This window comes from Homo sapiens, chromosome 7 (assembly GCF_000001405.40).
Source record: "Homo sapiens chromosome 7, GRCh38.p14 Primary Assembly".
In the NCBI taxonomy this organism is placed as follows: domain Eukaryota; kingdom Metazoa; phylum Chordata; class Mammalia; order Primates; family Hominidae; genus Homo; species Homo sapiens.
Genome location: NC_000007.14, coordinates 151,297,071 through 151,317,810, shown reverse-complemented (window position 1 = coordinate 151,317,810; position 20,740 = coordinate 151,297,071). Strand labels below are relative to the sequence as shown.

General features: G+C 48.1%; 2 annotated features.

Annotated features, from left to right (window-relative positions):
• Positions 13,619-14,477: an enhancer, noted in NCBI's record as "H3K4me1 hESC enhancer chr7:151000420-151001278 (GRCh37/hg19 assembly coordinates)". NCBI's record gives its function as "activates a minimal SCP1, AML or CMV promoter by ChIP-STARR-seq in naive H9 embryonic stem cells {active_cell/tissue: H9 hESC(naive)}" and the evidence as "EXISTENCE:reporter gene assay evidence [ECO:0000049][PMID:30033119]".
• Positions 14,108-14,277: a silencer, noted in NCBI's record as "silent region_18810". NCBI's record gives its function as "represses an Ori minimal core promoter by ATAC-STARR-seq in GM12878 lymphoblastoid cells {active_cell/tissue: GM12878}" and the evidence as "EXISTENCE:reporter gene assay evidence [ECO:0000049][PMID:35858748]".

Genomic DNA, 20,740 nt, shown 5'->3' with positions numbered 1-20,740 from the left:
TATAGGTGTGAGCCACTATGCCCAGCCTTGACTCCTCTTTTGAAATGGTTATATCATCTGCCTAGTTTCCACATGAATTAAATAAAACCTTTAACAGTGTTCATTTTTAACCTGAAGAAGAGTCATGGTTTTACTTTTTTCCCTGAAATTTGTCTTTCAATGCTTCTGTGCCATGGACAACAGATAGCAACTGCGCATCCAGGCATCGTGCTTGTGGTTCAGACCAGAGGAAGCGGGGAGGGCAAAGAATGGAAACCACTTGCCCACCAAGTCTGCCCATTTTTGTCAGGCAAATAGTAGTAGCTCGTCCAGAATCCCCATCCCTTAGACTCCCTCACACCTGACTGCCTAGAAAAATGCCACATAGACACTCCTAATTGCAAGGGATCTTGGGAAATCATTGCCTACCCACTACAGGAAAAAAAAGAAAAAGGTAATCTGTGAGCAAGGAAGAAGAGAATGGGCGCTCAGTAGGCAACCAGGCTGCATCAACAAGGACCCACTCCAGACAAAGCTTTAGACAGAGCTTCAGATGACCTCGCTCTTGTGTGCACATTCCCCCATCCTCCCATCCGACCTCCTTACCCCCACCCGTGCGCTCATCTTGAAGCCACTAATGACCACGCTGCTGCAGCGTCTAAGTGATTTATCCTCATGTAGCCGATTTTTAGTGGGGTACCCCCAAAGGAGTAGTACAGAGGAGTCCGTGTTAGGGACAGAATTGCTGTCATCAGGACGGCTTGTAAGGGAGCTTTGGTGGGAGCTGGGAAAGAGGGGCGTCTTTCCTTCCTTCCCCACTCCACTGGCCGATGCCTGGATTACCAGCAGATCCCTATACCACCTGGATGCAAGGCTGGCCCAAGAGAAGATTTGCTGAATATCTTGAGAATGCTATTTGATACATTTTTCTTACTTTTTCATTATTAAAATTGTTTTCAAATAATAAAATAAAATGAGAGAAGAAAATGAGAAAATTATATTTTAAGTAATTTTCCTTACCTAAAATAGAACCATTATAACATGTTAAAGTTTTCCAGAGTTTTCTCTCTAATAAGAGCTTTTCTTACAGTCATCATCCCAGGTGTGCAAATTTTTAACCTATTTTTTTAATTAATGTATCCTAAGCATATTTTATTTTATTTTATTTTATTTTATTTTATTTTATTTTATTTTATTTTATTTTATTTTATTTTATTTTATTTTATTTTATTTTATTTTATTTTATTTTATTTTATTTTATTTTATTTTATTTTATTTTATTTTATTTTATTTTATTTTATTTTGAGACGGAGTCTCACTCTGTTGCCCAGGCTGGAGTGCGGTGGCAAATCTCGGCTCACTGCATGCTCCGCCTCCCGGGTTCAAGCTATTCTCCTGACTCAGCCTCCGAGTAGCTGGGATTACAGGCGCCCGCCACCACACCCAGCTAATTTTTTGTATTTTTAGTAGAGACGGGGTTTCACCATGTTGGCCAGGCTGGTCTCAAACTCCTGACCTCAAGTGATCCGCCCACTTTGGTCTCCCAAAGTGCTGGAATTACAAGGCATGAGCCACTGTGTCCGGCCTTAAGCATCTTTTATGTTATTTCATACCTTCATTAATATAACTTCAGTAGCTACTTCATATCTCCCCACGTGGACATAACCATAGATTAGTCAATCGTACCCTATTACTGGTCATTTAAGTTTGTATTAGCTAGAAGACAGACTTACCTGTAATCCCAGCTACTTGGGAAGCCGAGGCACAGAATCACTTGAACCCAGGAGGAAGAGGCTGCAATGAGTTGAGATTGCACCACTGCACTCCAGCCTGGACGACAAACTGGAGTGAAATTAGCAAAAGTGCAGGAAGCATTGATTTTTTTTTCTTTGAGACTCTGTCTCAGAAAAAAAAAGTCTCACCATCAACATCTATAATAATAAAGAAAACGAAGAACTAGAATCGATGTTTATAATGCGTCTTACTCTAGCACAGAGATACGTAAGCTAGGAAATAAAAACAACTTCATTCACCTCATTGAGAGATGCATTTCCAATAAAAACGTACTTTTTATGTTTAACAATTGTTAATTAGTTTGTCACATATTTATTCTGTTTTAATCAAATATCCATAATGGTGATGATAACTGTAAGCAGAAGGTAACGTTTCCATAATTACAGACCTGATCACAAAGGTACCGCTTCCTTCAATTTCAATGTATAAACATATTTTCATTGCTGAGAAGTATGAGAGGTATAAGCCATATGACTTTCACACATAACATATATTAGGATAAAAGTTTATGAGGGAGGTGGATGGAAAGAATGGTTAAAGAACTCATTTACGTATGTTTAAATGGTGGGTGCCAGAGTGATACGATGCCTGCATATCACTGAACACACAGCCAAGAGTCACATGTTTTATTTTCAAAATATTAATATTTTTAATAAGCTGGAAGTTGCATGCTTTTCAGCCATTAAACCTGGAGGAAAATTTTTAGGTGCAAAATGGAAAACTCTGAGGACACAGCTGTTAAAAATTGAGCAGTACCCCACCCGCCTCGGGATCTTCCTGAGTCTAGGGCTCCCTCTGGTGGTGAGACTCAGAATTTGTGTTAGATCACAGCCCCGGAGACCTGCCTAGCAAGAATTAAAAGCACCACGTTCTGCAAGCCAACCCCTTCCTTCTTGGTGTGTTTCCTGGAATCGTCACTGTAATTTTTTTTTTTTTTTTGGTTTTTGAAACGGAGTTTCTCTCTGCCCCCAAGCTGGAGCGCAGTGGCGCGATCTCGGCTCATTGCAACCTCTGCCTCCAGGGTTCAAGCGATTCTCCTGCGTCAGCCTCCCAGGTAGCTGGGACTACATGCATGCGCCACTAATTCTTGTATTTTTAGTAGAGACGGGTTTTCACCATGTTGGCCAGGCTGGTCTCGAACTCCTGACCTCAAATGATCAGCCCGCCTCGGCCTCCCAAAGTTCTGGGATTACAGGCGTGGGCCACCATGCCCGGCCTGTCACTATAAAATTTGACCATATTGGCCCTCTAAGCCCAGAACCTTGAGAGAATAGTACACTGCACCCCTCATCAAGCCAGATCCTCCATGGTCATTCATTAACTTGACGGACGTCTACTGAGCACCCACTATGGGCCAGGCACCCATTTCTAAAAGCCCTCTGTATCTCTCTCTAAGAAGTGTGAAGAAGTTCCTAAACAAAAGAGGAACCCAACACGAATTAACGACCACAGAAATTCACCAAAAAATTAAAGTGACCCACAAACGTTTACAAAGAGGTTTATCCCCTCCAGTAATTAAAGAAACACAATGAACCACAAGAAATCATTTGCCTGCTCCTAAGCTGGGATAGGTTTAAATATCTGATAATATCCAAGGCTGCCATGGGTGGAGGAACCGGGAAATACATGTCTTCATACCTTGCTGGTGAGGATATAAACTGGTACAATTTAACGGACTACGAAGAATATTAACATTTTTTCAGTTCATGCTTTTGACCCATGAATTATTTTAAGGCTTTCGTCGGGACCCTGGCCCAGCCTGCTGCTGAGACCGTCAGGACCTTGGTAAGATGCGCTGGGGTTAGAGTATCTGAGAGCCCCTCTCCTAACTGCTGAAAAGGAGCGAGTTCTCCAGCCTTTGGTTACATGTCCCCAACCAATGCCATTTTCTAAGAACAGCCTCTGTGGCTCTGCTCCCAGCACAAGCTTTCCTGTGCCAAGAACTGGGAGGCGGCCGGGGCAGTGGGGACTGGCGCCTGACTCAGCCTCCTGGGTCAACGGGTGGGGAGCGTCCCGGGGCTCAGGCTGCCTCATCTCTCTCCACCCCTGCCCCCCTTTCCATCTCACACCCACACTCACACTTACAAACACACACACTCATACCCACAGTCACGCACACACCCACACTCACGCACATGAACTCATACACAACCAAACACACTCATACACATGCAGTCATACACTACTCCCCCTACACCACACACACACTCACAAATACACATTCACTCACACACACCAAACACCCATACACATACACATACACCACTCCCCCACACTCACACACACTCTCACACACACACCCCACACACACACGAACTCACACACACTCATACACAACCACACACCCATACACATGCACTCACACACCACTCCCCCACATCACACACATAAATACACTCACTCATACACACCCACCAAACACCCATACACATGCACACACACTACTCCCCCACACAACTCCCCCACACTCACACTCTCACACCCTCCCCACACATCCCAAACTCACTCCCACACACACGAACTCACACATGCTCATACACAACCACACACACCCATACACATGCACTCAAACACCACTCCTACACCACACACACTCACAAATACACATTCACTCATACACACCCACACATACCCATACACGTGCTCACACACCACTTCCCCTACATCACTCACACCCACCCTCACACACACGCATTCACTCATACACACCCACACACACCCATACACATTCACTCACACCTCTCCCACCCACTCACACACAAACTCAGTAACACATACCTTCACACACTCATATACACCCACATACATGCACTGACATACCACTCCACACTCCTCTACACTCACACACACACATCCCCACAACCCACACTCACACATATCCACACCCACACTCACAAATACGTTCATTTATACACACCCACACACCCATATACATGCAGTCACACTACTCCCCCACACTCACAGCCACACACACCTTCACACACTCATACATTCACACACCCACACACATGCACTGACACTCCACTCCCTCACACTCTCACACACACCCCCAGACATCCACACTCACACATTCACACACACGCACACACACCACTCCCTCACACTCACACCCCACACACATCCACACTCACACAAACACACACATTCACACATATATACACACGCACTCACATCACTCCTCACACTCGCACACACACACCACCCCCACACATTCATACACACAGAGACACACTCACCCACACACATTCACAAACTCTCACACACATTCACACACTCATATCCACACACACCCATACTCACACATGCACTCACACACCACTCCCCAACAGTCAGACACTCACAAACACACATAGCCCCCACACACTGACACACTCACTCACACTCTCACACTCACACACACCCTGTGGAAGACTAGAAAGAGCCCTGGACTCTAACGTGACACCAACATGGTCTTGCCTCTCAGGGTCTCAGGGGTCTGCCTCGCTATGGGCCTCAGTTTCCCCACCTACACAAGGGGATTGGACTAGATGATGCCTCTGAGCCCCCCCGCCCCAGCGTTAATTCTAGCTCTGCCCTTCAAGGAGGTTATCATCTAATAGAGGAAGCAGGAGATGCCCTCCAAGTCATGCCACAACGAACGTCTTGAACCCCCCTAAATGGAATGCTGGCATATTCCACTCCCAAATACACAGTCATGTGCTGCATAATGATACTGGCCAATGACAGACGGCATACATGACGGTGGTCCCATAAGATGATGGGACCCATACGATTATACCGTACATTTACTGTACCTTTTCCATGTTTCATTATGTTTAAATACACAATACTGGCCGGGTGCAGTGGCTCACACCTGTAATCCCAGCACTTTGGGAGGCCGAGGCAGGAGAATCACTTGAACCCAGGAAGCGGAGGTTGCAGTGAGCCAAGACTGGGCCACAAATACAATATTAGGAATGAAAATAAATATTACTAAGAATGAGAAAAAAGTTATAAATTTTAAAAAGTAAAAAATACCACAAACATTACAAAATCCAGAAAAATAAAATATTTTTATTAATTAACTGTCTGACACATATCTATAATTTTTTTTCATTTTTTGGCTATAGGCTCTTTAATTGACTCTTTAAATGACAACAATCTTATCAGAGAAATTAGAAAGACGATCTTTGCTCTAGCATGGTGGGTTAAAATTTAGCGATTTATTAATTTAGAAAAGTTTCTTTTAGCTTCTGTGCCAGTTGTCAACTTATTGTATCTCAGCTCCTAATACGTCCCTCATTGCCTGACCTCCTAGAATTGAGCTGAGCCTTGTAATTAGTTGCCCTTTGCCTGCAGCTGCATGTCAAGCTTTGTCAGTAGAGGGCGCTGAAGAGACACGGGAGGAGAAAGGGGTTTCTCTTCACTGTCTGGTGCACTCCTCTTGGGAGGCTCCTGCTGCCCATGAGGTTTCTCTACACCTGCTCCTGCAAGGCACCCGGCTTCTGCAGTGTCTGGCAGCTCCAGCAGCATGTGTGGCTTCTGCAGCACCAACTCCAATTCCCAGGCACCAGTAGCTTTCTCTGGAAGCCCCCTGGGCAGCTTTGCAGGAGTTTGTGGCCACTAGGGCACTGTCCTGGGAATTGCTTCCCCCTGCATTTTCTCCTGTGGCTTTGCAGACTGTTCTGAGACATGACGTGTCACTGTGGGTGATTCCTCTGATACCCCAGAGAGCAGATTTCCAGCTGCTTCTGCCAACCTGGCACCTCAGTGACTTCTCTGCCACGATCTCTCCCATCAGGTCTGGATCTCAGCCGTGGCAGGGACCTTCTTCTGGGGTGCTTTATCTCAGCCCTAAGAGTGATGGTTGTGCCTCTATCTGCCATTCCTGCATTTTTCAAGAGTTCTCTTAACTTCTTTCTAGCCAGGCCTTATTACTCCAATCCCCTGTTAAAGTCAATTCTTTTTTCTTTTTTCTTTTTTTTTTTTTTTGACTGAATTTCATTCTGTTGCCCAGGCTGAAATGCAGTGGCACGATCTCGGCTCACTGCAACCTCCGCCTCCCGGGTTCAAGCGATTACCATGTCCCAGCCTCCCAGGTAGCTGGGACTACAGGCATGCACCACCATGCCTGGCTACTTTTTGTATTTTTAGTAGAGATGGGTTAGCCAGGCTGGTCTCGAACTCCTGACCTCAAGTGATCCACCAGGCTCGGCTGGGTGGAGTGCTGGGATTACAAGCGTGAGCCACTGTGCCTGGCCTAAAGTTAATTATCTATGGGAAACATTCCTTGTACAAATTATCGTGTGGTTTCTGTCTCCTGATTGGAACCTGGCTAGTACAGCTTTACTGCCCTCTGTTGGTCATAATGATTGTATATCTGAAATATTATTTTCAAATCTGGGAAAATACCTGTCAAGTTTCATATATGAGTTTTAAGATTCCAGGGCATTTCATGGGTTTTGTGCTTAGTGGCTACTCTTAAAAACCCTTTGAATGCATGGCAGGGTGTCCTCTGTGACATGGTGCTCTACAAACACTGTTGCCTCAATGTCAGCATTTCATGTCAAATTGTAAAGAAGTTCCATCCTTTTCCTGTATGTTCTTAGGATTCACTCATTGGTTTATCAAAGAACCCAAAAGCTTATTCATTGTTTCTATTCAAAATGTATCATTTCTCCTGAATCAATTGCTGCTTTTTATGTGATTGGAAAGGGTTTTGTTACAATTTGCTTCTCAATGTCCAAATAACCTCTATCAATTTTATCTGTCATCTTTATTACTTTTGTTCCAGATTTCATTAATTTCAAATTGATGACAAAAGAAGGTATCTTGTACAACCAAATCTAGAGTCTACAGTTTCTCACTGGTTTTATTACAATGTTGCAAAACAATTTTTTAACATTGTAGCTAAAAGGTGGTATTCAAGTTTTATCAAATATACCATTCCCATCAAAAAAGAAGCCTGGGCAATATAGTGAGACTCTGTCTCTACAAAATAAATAAATAAATAAATAAATAAATAAATAAATAAATAAATAAATTAAATTAGCCAGACATGGTGGTGCATGCCTGTAGTCCCAGCTACTAGGGAGGCTGAGGTGGGAGGATCACTTGAGTCCGGGAAGTCGAGGTTGCAGTGAGATATGATCATGCCACTGCACTCCAGCCTGGGTGACAGAGTGAGACCCTGCCTCAAAATAATAAAAAAAGAAAAGATGTGCCCTGTCTACTCTGCTGAAGGGATATGCAGTTGGCACTTCCAACACGGTCTGCTACAGACAAGTCAGAACTTATGATGGTTTTTCAGTTTTTCTGGGCTACACGGAACTTCCTTGGCACTCACTAAGGCTTCCAACACCGGAAGTTCTTCATCTATCATCACATATCTTCAGTCTTCATGGATCTAGGGAAACCCTCTTACCAGGCATAAATCACCTCCCACTGTACAAGCAGGAAATGCCAGACACTCACTCTTTTAGCCTCCCTGGCTGTGGCAGGACCCACACATGTCAAAGCTCCATCTGTGAGTTGCACCCTCCCAGACCACAGGCCAGATGCTAGTGGCCAAAGGAGGTGGGGACTCCACAGACTTGCTTGGTTATGATGTAGCTTTGAGGTTTCCAGAGGCTGCTGCAGGGCCAGTTCCAGCCCCCTCGAACAATAAAGGAGGTGGCTGCTGAGGCTAGATCACAAAACAGGGACAGTGGCCTGAGGAACGTGGCTGCTGCCCACGATTGGCAAGGAGGTGGGAGGGAGCTTCGGAGACACGGCCCCTCTCCTTTCACCCTGAGCACCCGCTGGGCCAGCCCTGAGACACAGAGCAGACCAGAGCGCTGGGAATGAACCTGGGGTAGGGTGGGGTGGGGAGAAAGGAGAATAACCAGCCCCTCAGGGCTTGGAATTGAGAAGTGTGAAACCACGTGCAAAAGCTTCCCTGGATGACCCAGATGAGGGATATTGATCCAGGAAGGTCTTAGCAGCAGATGGGGAATTGCACGCTGGCGGGCAGTCCTGGAAGCGGGTGCAGAGGGACCCATTCCTGCAGGTCATTCCTCTCAGCACATGGACACGGGCAGTTCCCACAGATGCCAGCAAGCCACCGCCTGCAGGCAGGATGGGAGGGCGCCCACCCTTGGGGTGCTTTCTGGCTGTACCCTGATGATGGCTGCAGCCACACATCTCAGAGTGCGGTTCATGGAATACTAAAAAATGTAAATGCTGCAATCAGGGCTCTGAAAATAATGTTGCTGGAATTATTGAGGGAAATTTACAAATTAAATAGCCTAAAAGGCTGCAAATGAAAATGACATTAAATTGGCAAGGACTTGTGGAGCACAAGAATTATTTGTCTTTCCTTAAATAAGAAAGTGGTCAGAGACTGGGTCACAGAGCCAAAGCAGGATGGAGGGACCCCTGCCTCATAATGGAACTAGATAGAGGCCCAGTCCTCCGCGACCCTGGCCAGGGCGCTCTCTTCCACCAGCTGTTCCCCTTGCTGAGGCACATGGGTTGGGGAGGCTGCTGAGTGCTTGGGTCCCACATGCAGTCCATGGGGCACAGGACCCATGACCCCAGTCTCACTGATGTTGCTCCCTGGCAGCTGGGCTGCAAACATCCACAGCAGGCCGGGAGACAGACAGACCAGCCTGGCAAGCAGGAGGCGGAAACCAGGCAGTGTTTTGGGCCATACATTGGTTTCCTGGGGCTTCCTACTGGCTTGAACAAAAGAGATGTATGGTCTCCTGGTTCTGGAGGCCAGAAGTTGGAGACCATAGTGTCGGCAGGGCTAGTCCCCCTCTGAGGGCACTAGGGAAGGCTCGGTCCCAGGCCTCCCTCCCAGCTTCCAGAGGCTTCACTCACTCAATCTGCACATGGCATGGCGTTCTCCCTGTGTGCCTGTCTGTCTCTGTGTCCAAATTTCCCTTCTTTAAAAGGGCACAGCCATATTGGATTAGCACAACTTATCTTAATCATCTACACAGATCCTGTTTCCAAATAAGGTCACACTCACAGATATGGGGGGTTAAGACTTTGGCATCTTTTGGGGGACACAACTTAACCCATAAGAGCCGGCTACTCTCCACAAGGGTATTTGGCCCATTCTGTGTATTAAGCACTGTGCCAGCCTCTGAGGGGAGGTGGGATGAATAAGATGAGGGCCCTGCCTCCACGGAGCTGACTCCAGCCTCAGAAGTGCTGCCAGCCTCACTTACCAGCAAACTTTATGCAAAACTGGAAGCCCAAGGCGTTTCTGAACAGAACCTGGCTCTGTGTCTCTCTGGGAGGCGTCTGCCCCCAGGGCTGCTCAGGGCCCTCAGGCAGGGGACAGTCCTGAGGACCCTGACCCAGAAAATACAGAACAGGGAGATGTGAACATTTGGAGAGCATGCGTAATGACCCTGAGCAATTCCATCTTCAACAGGAGCTCAAAATGCAGATCCTGAGTCAAACTGCAAATGGCAACCCCTCCCCTCTGGCCCACTGTCCCCTTTCCCACAACCGGACGCCCTGCGATGCCCCCGAGCTGAGTGCAGATGACCTGCAGATGAATGTCTTTGAGTGTTTATTCCTGAAAGGCTGCCCCTCCCCATGAGGACAAAGGGAGTGAGGGTCTAGAAACATGGGTTCTAAACCCAGCCCTGTCACCAATGAGCAGCGGGACCTTGGGCCAATCCCACCTCCCTCTGGCCTTTGCTCAGAAGTTGGGTGGCTCTAAGGTCCCTTCTGGTGCCATGATTCCGACTCTATGGGGAACACAGGGAGGGCTTGGTGAATCCCCACAAGGGGACCTATACAGCAGGACCCTCCACCCTTCAGTTCCCTGGAGGAAGCAGGATGTGTCCCTACCTTTACCTGCTTATTGGTCTTTCGATCTTTACCTGGTGGGCCTCAGCTGCTCAAGCCTCTTGGCTGTGATTGGGCTTAGGTGAATACAGTGAGGCCATTGTTTTCTCCATGGGATGTCTCAGATTAGGAGCAGAGGGTGGCTCAACCAGCCTTCACAATAGGGATACCTTCTGTACGTCAGCCCTTATCTTGAGTATTGGGCCAGCCCCATCACCTGACCCAGGGCACAGTCACCCACACACCTCGGGGGTCATTACAAGCTCAGTGTTTCCTGCCCCTGAGAGATTCCAGCCCTGCTGTCTGTCCATCTTTTACAAACCAGATGAAGTTTCATCTCCATGAAGCCTTCCTGGATACATTTTTTATATTTTTTTGGCAGGGTCTTGTTCTATCACCCGGGCTGCTGTAGTGCAGTGGTGTGATCTCAGCTCACTGCAACCTCCACCTCCCGGGCTCAAGTGATCTTCCCACCTCAGCCTCCCGAGTAGCTGGAATGGCAGATGCACACTAATTTTTTTTTTTTTTTTGTAGAGACAAGATTTCACCATGATGCCCAGGCTTGTCTCGAACTCCTGGGCTCAAGGGATCCGCCTGCCTTGACCTCCTCAAGTGTCGGGATTATAGGTGTGAGCCACTGCGCCCAGCACTCCTGAATGTATCTTGATGCAGCCAAACAGTATCAACTTCTCCTCCATCTCAGCCACAATACTTATTGCCTGGACTGTATATTGAAGTTCAAATCATATTCTATGTGATATTTAAACACAGCTTCAAACATACAAACCACAAAATGCCACCACCACGTGCCTTGCTGTGGGTGTCATTTCACTCACCGTGTTAAATGCTACCAGAGTTTTCAATCTGCAGACAGGATATTCAGTTCTGGGAAATTTTCATGTATGTTTACAAATAACTTCCTTCCTATTATATACTCGTTTTCCCAAAACTCCAACTTGGACATCCTGGATTTATCTTCTACTTCTAATTTCTCTCCTGAATTCTCAGAGTTGAAAGTTATGAAATACATATTGAAAGAATGCCCCAAATACTCTGTACAATGTAAAATTAGGCCCATTCAAAGCACACTGTCATGAACTCTGGGGATATTGAGGGCACAGAGAAGACTCTACAAGCTTCCAATCCTACATATAGATAGATGTAATAGGAAGGCTGAAGGATAAGAGTGGCCTCAGACTTCTCATCTACAACACTAGAAGGTAGCCATGCCTTCAACACTCTGAGGGGGCTGGGTGAAGTGGCTCATGCCTGTAATCCCAACACTTTGGGAGGCCAAGGTGGGAGGATCACTTGAAGCCAGGAGTTCAAGACTGGCTTGGGAAGCAAAGTAAGGCACCCAATCTCAAAAAAAAAAAAAAAAAAAAAAAAAGTTTAGAAAATTAGCCAGGTGTGCTGGTGCACACCTGTGGTCCCAGCTTCTTGGGAGGCTGAGGTGGGAGGACTGCTTGAGCCCAGGAGTTCAAGATTGCAAAGCTGTGAGCAACACTGCACTCCATCCTGGGCAACAGAGTGAGATCTTGTCTCTAAAATCAAAAACCAAAACTGAGGGAAACTGATACCCGGATAACAATTACATACCCAGCTAAGCTACCAAGCAAGTGTTACGGTAAAATAAAAACAGGGTCAGATATACAAGCTCTCAAAACTTTACCTCTCAAGCATCTTTTTTCAGGAAGCTATGGAAGGACGTACTCAATTAAAATGGGAGAATAAAGGAAGAAACAAGAAAAACGATCCAGGAACCAGGGTCGGCCAACCAAGAGGGAGGCAAGGGCCTCTCTGGGCTGCAGGGCAGAAGCCCCGGGAAAGAGTTCTTCAAAACACTGAAATGAACAGACTATCGGACAGGAATTTATCAAAAGGAGAGTTACACAGCTGGGGAAGAATTTGGTGATAAAATAGCCATAAACATCTGGAGAACTAAGTGAAAGGAAGTTCAAGACAATCAGTAAATCCAGAGAAAAGAAAAAGGTGGCAGAAAGGAAAAATAGTCCTAATATATAGTCCACCGCTCATTTGTGAACAGTAGTTACCTAACCCATCAACATCCATCTGACCCAAGGTAAGAATTCAGTGGCGGATGAGGAGGTAGGAGGGGTGGGGTGGGTGTGAGGAGGAGTTAAGTCCTCCTCTTCCGTAGCCAGTAGGAAACGCTAACGATGGAAATCTGTTGTTTAGAGACATGGAGGCAAAACAGAAGAGAATCAGCTGGAAGAGCTAAGAGCCCCGCTGTGGAGGACAGGAAGTGGGAGGTGGGAACTGCTTTTTTTCAGACATCTCCTGTAACAGCGTGATTCTAAACTGTGTAACTTTTTGTTTGTTTGTTTGTTTGTTTTACAGGAACACGGATTTGATTTTTTTTTTTTTTTTTTTTTGAGACGGAGTCTCGCTCTGTCTGTCGCCCGGGCTGGAGTGCAGTGGCGCGATCTCAGCTCACTGCAAGCTCCGCCTCCTGGGTTCACGCCATTCTCCTGCTTCAGCCTCCCGAGTAGCTGGAACTACAGGCACTTGCCACCAAGCCGGGCTAATTTTTCGTATTTTTAGTAGAGACGGGTTTTACCGTGTTAGCCAGGATAGTCTCGATCTCCTAACCTCGTGATCCGCCCGCCTTGGCCTCCCAAAGTGGTGAGATTACAGGCATGAGCCACTGCGCCCGGCCTTGATGTTTTAATAAAAATACAGTTCTACAAAAGGTGCTTAACACAGCCCCGGACGGGGTTCTCAGGTGGAGTCAGCCCTAGGACCCCTAAAAGACGCACGCAGACAGAGCCTGCTCCCCCCACGCTCCCGCCAGCACCGGGACCCACTGAGAGCCACTGCCGGGTGTCCTTCATATAAAAAAAAAAAAAAAAGGCGGGTGCAGTGGCTCACGCCTGTAATCCCAGCACTTTGGGAAGCTGAGGCGGGCAGATCACCTGAGGTCAGGAGTTTGAGGCCAGCCTGGCCAATATGGCGAAACCCCGTCTCTACTAAAAATACAAAAATTAGTTGGGCGTGGTGGTGCGCGCCTGTAATCCCAGCTACTCGGGAGGCTGAGGCAGGAGAATCATTTGAACCCAGGAGCTGGAGGTTGCAGTGAGCCGAGATCGCGCCACTGCACTCCAGCCTGGGCGACAGAGCGAGACTCTGCCTCAAAAAAAAAAAGATAGAAAGAAAGAAAGAAAGAAACTTACTACACAAAGCTCTTGTTGAAACGGTGTAACTTGGTTGAAATTACAAAAAGCAGGGCCCTAGCGAGTTGCTTGGCCGTGCCGTACGCGCAGGCGCGCCCACTCCCACCCAGCAGGAGGACCCCGCCATCGTCAAGTCGTGACCTGTCATCCACACAGAGGACTGTCGGGGCCAAGTGGCCTCTGACGGGAGTAGGGGGTGAGAATCCGAGGTGGACCCTGGGAGAGCGCAGTTGGCTGGGGTGCTGCGCTGAAGGGGCCTCCAGGGTCAGGGCAGCAGGCGTGAGCCAGTGCCTGGCATGGAGTGGGGCTCCCTCGCCCCTTCCCGGCTGCTGCTCAGCGGCTGATTCCGCGGGCCCGGGGGCGCTCCAAGGGGCGTCGGTCCCGCGACGGCCGCCAGGTGGCGCCAGAGCCCGCCCAGCCGCAGCCCCTGCGCCTGCCAGCCCCGGTGCCCGCCAGCCAACGCCAAACCCAACCCGGCCAGGGTCCTGGGTCTCCCGCCCCTCCCTCAGAGTCTCCGAGGGGCGGGAAATGGTTTCCAAAAGAATTCAAATACATTCAAAAGCAGACCGGATGTAACGAAGAAGCCAGTCCAGGTTCTCTTACACCTCCAGCGGAGCCCCGCCGCCTGTTTCTCTCTAAAAGCAAATCCCAGACGATCCATCATTGCATCTGAAAATATCTCAGTTCCGAACTCTATAAAATAAGGACTCTAAAAAAAGTATAGTCCCGGCCGGGCGCAGCGGCTCACGCCTGTAATCCCAGCACTTTGAGGGGCCGAGCCGTGTGGATCACCTGAGGTCAGGAGTTCGAGACAAGCCTGGCCAATATGAATAAACCGTGTCTCTACCAAAAACACAAAAATTAGCCGGGCGTGGTGGCGGGAGCCTGTAATCCCAGCTACTCGGGAGGCTGAGGCAGGAGAATCACCTGAGCCCCGGAGGCGGAGGTTGTTCTGAGCGGAGATCACATCATTGCACTCCAGGCTGGGCGACAGAGGGAGACCCCGTCTCAAAAAAAAAAAAAAAAAAAAGAAAGAAAGAAAAAAGAAAAAAAATTATAGTCCCTATGTCGTGACCACACACGTTTAACAAATGCGGGTTCCTGGATCAGGAATCTGAGCCCGAGAGGGGACGGGAATCTGAGCCTTGTGACAAGTTTTCCCTGCAAAGTCTTGGGGTGCTGTGTGCAGAGGAACAGGACAGACTCCCCCTGAGCTCTGCTCCAGTACTGCTCCAGAGGCAGATGGAGAGCCGGCGTATCACATGCGGGCATCAGGATGGCATATTTGGGGGAACAGGGGTTTGGGAAGAGCCAGGTCGGATGGAGAGGGCAGGGACAGGCTGGGGAGCCCTGGTCCCACCCACACCCTCCCCACTTGGGGACCTCTCTTGTCTCCAAACATTACTCGGTCAGCCGGACGGTGAGTGGTGCCGTGGATAACAGGTCCCTTCTTGGGCTGCTGTGTCTAGTCCCTTAACTTCAATGCCCTTTTTAAGGCTTAAACCTTAGGTCGTTGCTCTGTTCCAATAGTCACACGTGCTCGAAGAACTGACCTGCTCATTTGGCCCTCAGCTGCCACCACGAGGCTCCCTCCTGGAGCTATTCCTCCCTGGACCGGCCACAGGGGAGGGCCCCAGGCAGCGTGGCTCCTCCAGTCCTGCCGCCTCTCTCATGCCACCTGTGTTTCCGAGCCAGTCCATCCAAGGAAACAGACAAGGTAGCCATGAGCATGAGTAGAGAGGTGCCCACGTTCCGGACCACTCTCGCTGTATTTGTCTCCCATCTCCATCAGAAGACTCCGCTGAGCTCCAAGGCAGGTGGGGTCACAGGCTGAGGCTGAGGACCAGCTGTGTGTTAAAAGCCAGCCAGTCTTGGGCAGAGGACCTCACCTTTCTTGGACGCAGATCTTGGAACCAGTACAGTGGCACCAAGGGCAGGTCTGAGGATTCAAGGTGACATGACAATCTTGAACGCTGAACCCAATGCCTCCCTAAGTGATGTTCTTGTCAAACAAGCTTCTGCCAGACGCTCTCCTCAGACTGTCCATTTTCACTCCAGATCTTTCTGTTCACTCATTTATCCTCTTGGCAAATACGTATTGTGCACCTACTGTGTGCGAGGTGCTAGGGATGCTGCAGCAATCCAACGGGCACCAATCTCCCCTCACAGAGAAGACATACTCCAAAGAGGAAAGGGGCCTCGCTGTGATGACAGGCAGTGCAGGTGTAGACCATGGCCTTGGACAGGGGTTCCAAGTGAGACGTGTTGCAGGGCCTGAGGCAGGCTCACCTAACTCGCCCAGCACCTGCCTGGGGAACCATGGGACCTCTCCCAGCACCCCCAGGCCACATCTCAGGGGAAGGGCACACTGCCTGTTCCCTGGCCCTTCTTTCAGTGTCCTCTCCCCCTCTCTCCCTTTGCTGGTTTCTCCACGCCTCTGGCCCACATGGCATAAAACAGGGTGTCTTTGGAAGGCTGAGGAGGCTTGCTGCAGGCCTGGCCACTTGGGGAGACACCGAGTCAATCAGATGAACTCTGGCTTACCTCCTCGGACCATCAACCATGGCCAGGAAGGTGGGTCACATTGTACCAAAGGCCACTGGGACAAACCTTGCAACTGTGAGGGTGAAGAGAGGAGGTGGGCAAGTTTGGAGGGCTGGGTTCCTGCTAGCTACCACCTCCTAGCCTCCCACTAGGTTTTCTCCCCCACCATAGGGGCCCACTGTACATTCTGCAGAGGAGGAAACTGAGGCATACAGCATGAGTTAGTTTCCCGTGGCTGTTGTAACACATTACCACAAGCTTGGTGGCTTAGAACAGCAGAAATGTATTCTCTCCCAGTTCTGGAGAACTCTGAAATCAGGGATCCAGGGGCTCTAGAGTGGAGTCTTGCTTCTTCCAGCTCCTGTGGCTGCCAGCTTACCTTGGCTTGTTGCTGCATCACTCCAATCTGCATGGCCAGCGTCTTTCAATCTTCTTCCACTCCGTCTTCGCGTGGTCTTCTCCTTGTGTAAAATGTCCCTCTACCTTTCTTATGAGGACATTTCCCACCACATTTAGGGCCCACCTGGACCATCTGGGACAGTCCCCATGTCAAAAGCTTTAACTTAATCACATCTGCAAAGACCCTTTTCCAATAAGGTAAGGTTGACAGGTACCAGCAATGGGGACCTGGTGTCTCTGGGGGGCATTATCAGCCTATGACAGGGACAGGAGTAATGTCCTCAATGGCACACAGCCGATTAGGTGGTGCAGTTGGTGTCTGGACCCGGGTCTGCCTGAGGAACCATGCTGTCACTCAACACATCCTTGTTCCCTTGTGGCCCAGAAGTCTTTATTCAGGGGCCACCATCAGGATGGTTTGTTCCATCCTCAACTCCTGTCACCAAGCAGTCAGGCCACCTGAGTTGAGGATGCTGAGAAAGCTTCGCTGCCTTAAGGCATTTCCCCTCCTGGCCTGACCCAGCACCTGGGCTGTTACCTGGAAGGAGGACTGCAGAGATGGCAGCTGCTGTCTCATCAATTTCCTCATTCTTCATTCCGCAGGGATCTAGCCTCTACAGGGTGGGGCACCAGGACCCACCAAAAGCGGGGCCCTGAGGGCTGGGGCAGAAGAGAACCATTCTGATTGCACCCCTTGGGGCAGGTCTGGAGAAGCGGAGTTTTGGGAGAGAGAAGTAAGAGGACACAGGAGCCTGCCTTGTCCTTCTCCTGCATCTCCAAGAGGAAGCTTTTCAGGCCCACTAGTGTAGGACCAAATGCTGAATTAATGAATCTATTGTTGACCATCTGTTGCAGTTAATATCACAGGGAGAGACAACCCCACAGGGTGCCCCTCCTGGTGGAAAAGCACAGGAGCCCCCCACAGAGGTGCAGCCAGCGAGGTCCAGGCCATGGGAAACCCTGAAGGACAAATGGCCTGCTTCCTCACCCATGCACACACATTCACACATGCACATGCACACATGTGCACATACACTCACACATCCACACATGCATATGCACACATGCACACGCACATTCATGCATGCATATGCACACACACTCACACACGCACACACACACTCACATGCACACACACATTCATGCATGCATATGCAGACACACTCACACATTGACACATGCACATGCACCCACGAGCACACACATTCATACATGCACATGCACACACACATTCACATGCACATGCACACACAAGCACACATACATTCACACATGCACATGTGCACACACATTCAGCATGGACATGCACACATGCACACACACATTCTTGTGTGCATATGCACACACGCACACACATTCATGCATGCACACACATTCACACATGCACAGGCACACATGCACACACACATTCACACATGCACTTGCACACATGCACACGCACATTCATGCATGCATATGCACACACACATGCACACACGCACACACTCACATGCACACACATTCACGCATGCACACACACTCACATGCACACACATTCACGCATGCACATGACACACGCATTCATGCATGCACATACACATACTCATGCAAATGCTCATGTGCACACACACACACATACATGCACACCCACAAGCACACATGCATGCTCACACAGATGCAAGAAACAGGGTAAAAGGGGCTTAAAAGATGGATCAAATTATCTCAATGTGTAAATCTTATTTGAATCTTGATTCAAATAAGCAAGCTATAGTTTAAAAGATAGTTTAGAAGTTTAGAAGACAACTGGAAACTTAAACACTTCCTGGATATTTGATGAAATGAATAAGGTATTTTTAATTTTTTAGGTGCGATGATGGTTTTATGGTTATATATAGGTTACATATATTGATATTATGGTTGTATGTATAGAAAACCATAATGTATTAGCTATTAATATGATAATAATATCGAATATTGATATATTATGTATTATGGCTTTATATATATTTACATATATATAAAAAGAAGTCTTACTGTTTAGAGATGCACACTGACGTACTTACAAATGAAATAATATGACGTCTAGGAGTTTCTTTAAGGTAATACAAGAAGGGGGAAGTGGGTAGGAGCATAGATGAAACGAAACTGGCTGTATCTTGTTGAAGCTGGGTGATGGGTACATGGGGGCTCATTAGACTACCCAGTCAGCTTGTGTATTTATTTAATTTTTTCACAAGAAAAAGTTAAAAATATTAAACAACAAAAGACATAGGGGCTATTCCAGGGTTACTAACAACCCAAAGGAAATGCTCCCGTTCCTGTCTTTTCCTCAAGACTTCCTGCTCTGCCTGCTCCCCCAGGAGTGGAAGGTCACCTTCCCACAGGAGGTACTAGGGGCGAGTGACCCTGAGCAAGGCTCACTAAGGCAGCGCTGTAAGTGACACCAGAATCCTGAAGTTCCGCTCATCCTGCTTATGAAAGGATCATTCTAGACTGCAGGGGTAGGGGTGGGGGGTGATGTCCCTCAGTCACCATTCTTCCATCAGCATACCTCTTCCCCTTCCCTGCTGCTTTTGGTGCCTCCCCGGTTGGAGTCTTACTTTTGGAAGAACACGAAGATCCCAGATAGGAACAGGACTCACTTCACACCTCTCGCTACCTGCTTGGACTGGAAATCATCTGGCAGGATCCATCCCACCTCCACGGGTGCTTCTGAGGCTCCTGGGACCTTAGACCTGGAGGATTATACAGATTCACCAGGAGCCGCCATGAATCTCACTGGGTTGTGCTATCCTCAAGATCCTGGAGCTGAGAGGGCTCTGGCTGTGGCCACACCCATGATGGCTCTTCAGTCTCCTTGGCCTTCCAGAACAAGGGGCAAGAAATCAAACAGCAAGCATCTGGTTAGAGGCTGAAACACAGTCATTCAGTGGTATCAAGATAGAGAGGAGACAGAATATGGGGTTCAGTGTCTTCCAGAACAGAAAGAACATGAAATACAACCTTTCACCTAAAGATACTGAAGGGTTATGCTGTAGGCAAATAGAGAAGCCAGGAAGGCCAGCCTGAGCAAAGCCAGCAGCCCACCCTTAGCTGCACCAAAGTGATTTGCCCGTCTTCCATCTGCCTGCCAATATAAAGTAGGAATACATATCACCCAGAGCCTCTTTTTCACATGCAATGTCTCGAATTCAATCAAAATTACCATCGAGACACATCCTTGAAAAAAATTAGCAAAAGATCTGAACACTTCACCAAAGAAGATATATAGATGGCAAATAAACACATGAAAAGATGCTCAAAATCATTAGTCACTAAGAACAATAAAACTTATTTATTTACTTATTTAGTTTTGAGACAGAGTCTTGCTCTGCTCCCAAGGCTGGAGTGCAATGGCGCCCTCTCAGCTCACTGCAACCTCCACATCCCAGGCTCAAACGATCCTCCTGCCTCAGCCTCCCAAGTAGCTGGGACTACAGGCCTGTGCCACCATGCCTGGCTATTTTTTGTGTATTTTATAGAAATGGGGTTTCACCATGTTACCCAGGCTGTTCTCAAACTCCTGGACTCAGGCAATCCACCTGCCTTGGCCTCCCAAAGTGCTGGGATTACAGGTGTGAGCCACCATGCCTTGCCAAAAATGAAATTTAAATGAGATATCACTACACACCCACTGAAGTAGCTAATATTAAAAAGACTGACTGCAAATGTAGAGCAAATGGAACTCTCATACACTGGTGGTGGTATAATCACATTGCAAGACAGCTTAGCAGCTTGTTAAAAGATAAAACATACACCTACAATATGACCCAGTTATTCCTCATCTAGGTATTTATCCAAGAGGAATGAAAACATATGAAATGAAAACAGGCATGGTGGCTCATGCTTGTAATCCCAGCACTTTGGGAGGCTGAGGTGGGAGGGCTGTTTGAGGTCAGGAGTTCAAGACCAGCCTGGACAACACAAGACCCTGTCTCTACCCCCCAAAAAAAAAAATGTAAAAATTAGCCAGGCCTTTGTGTTGC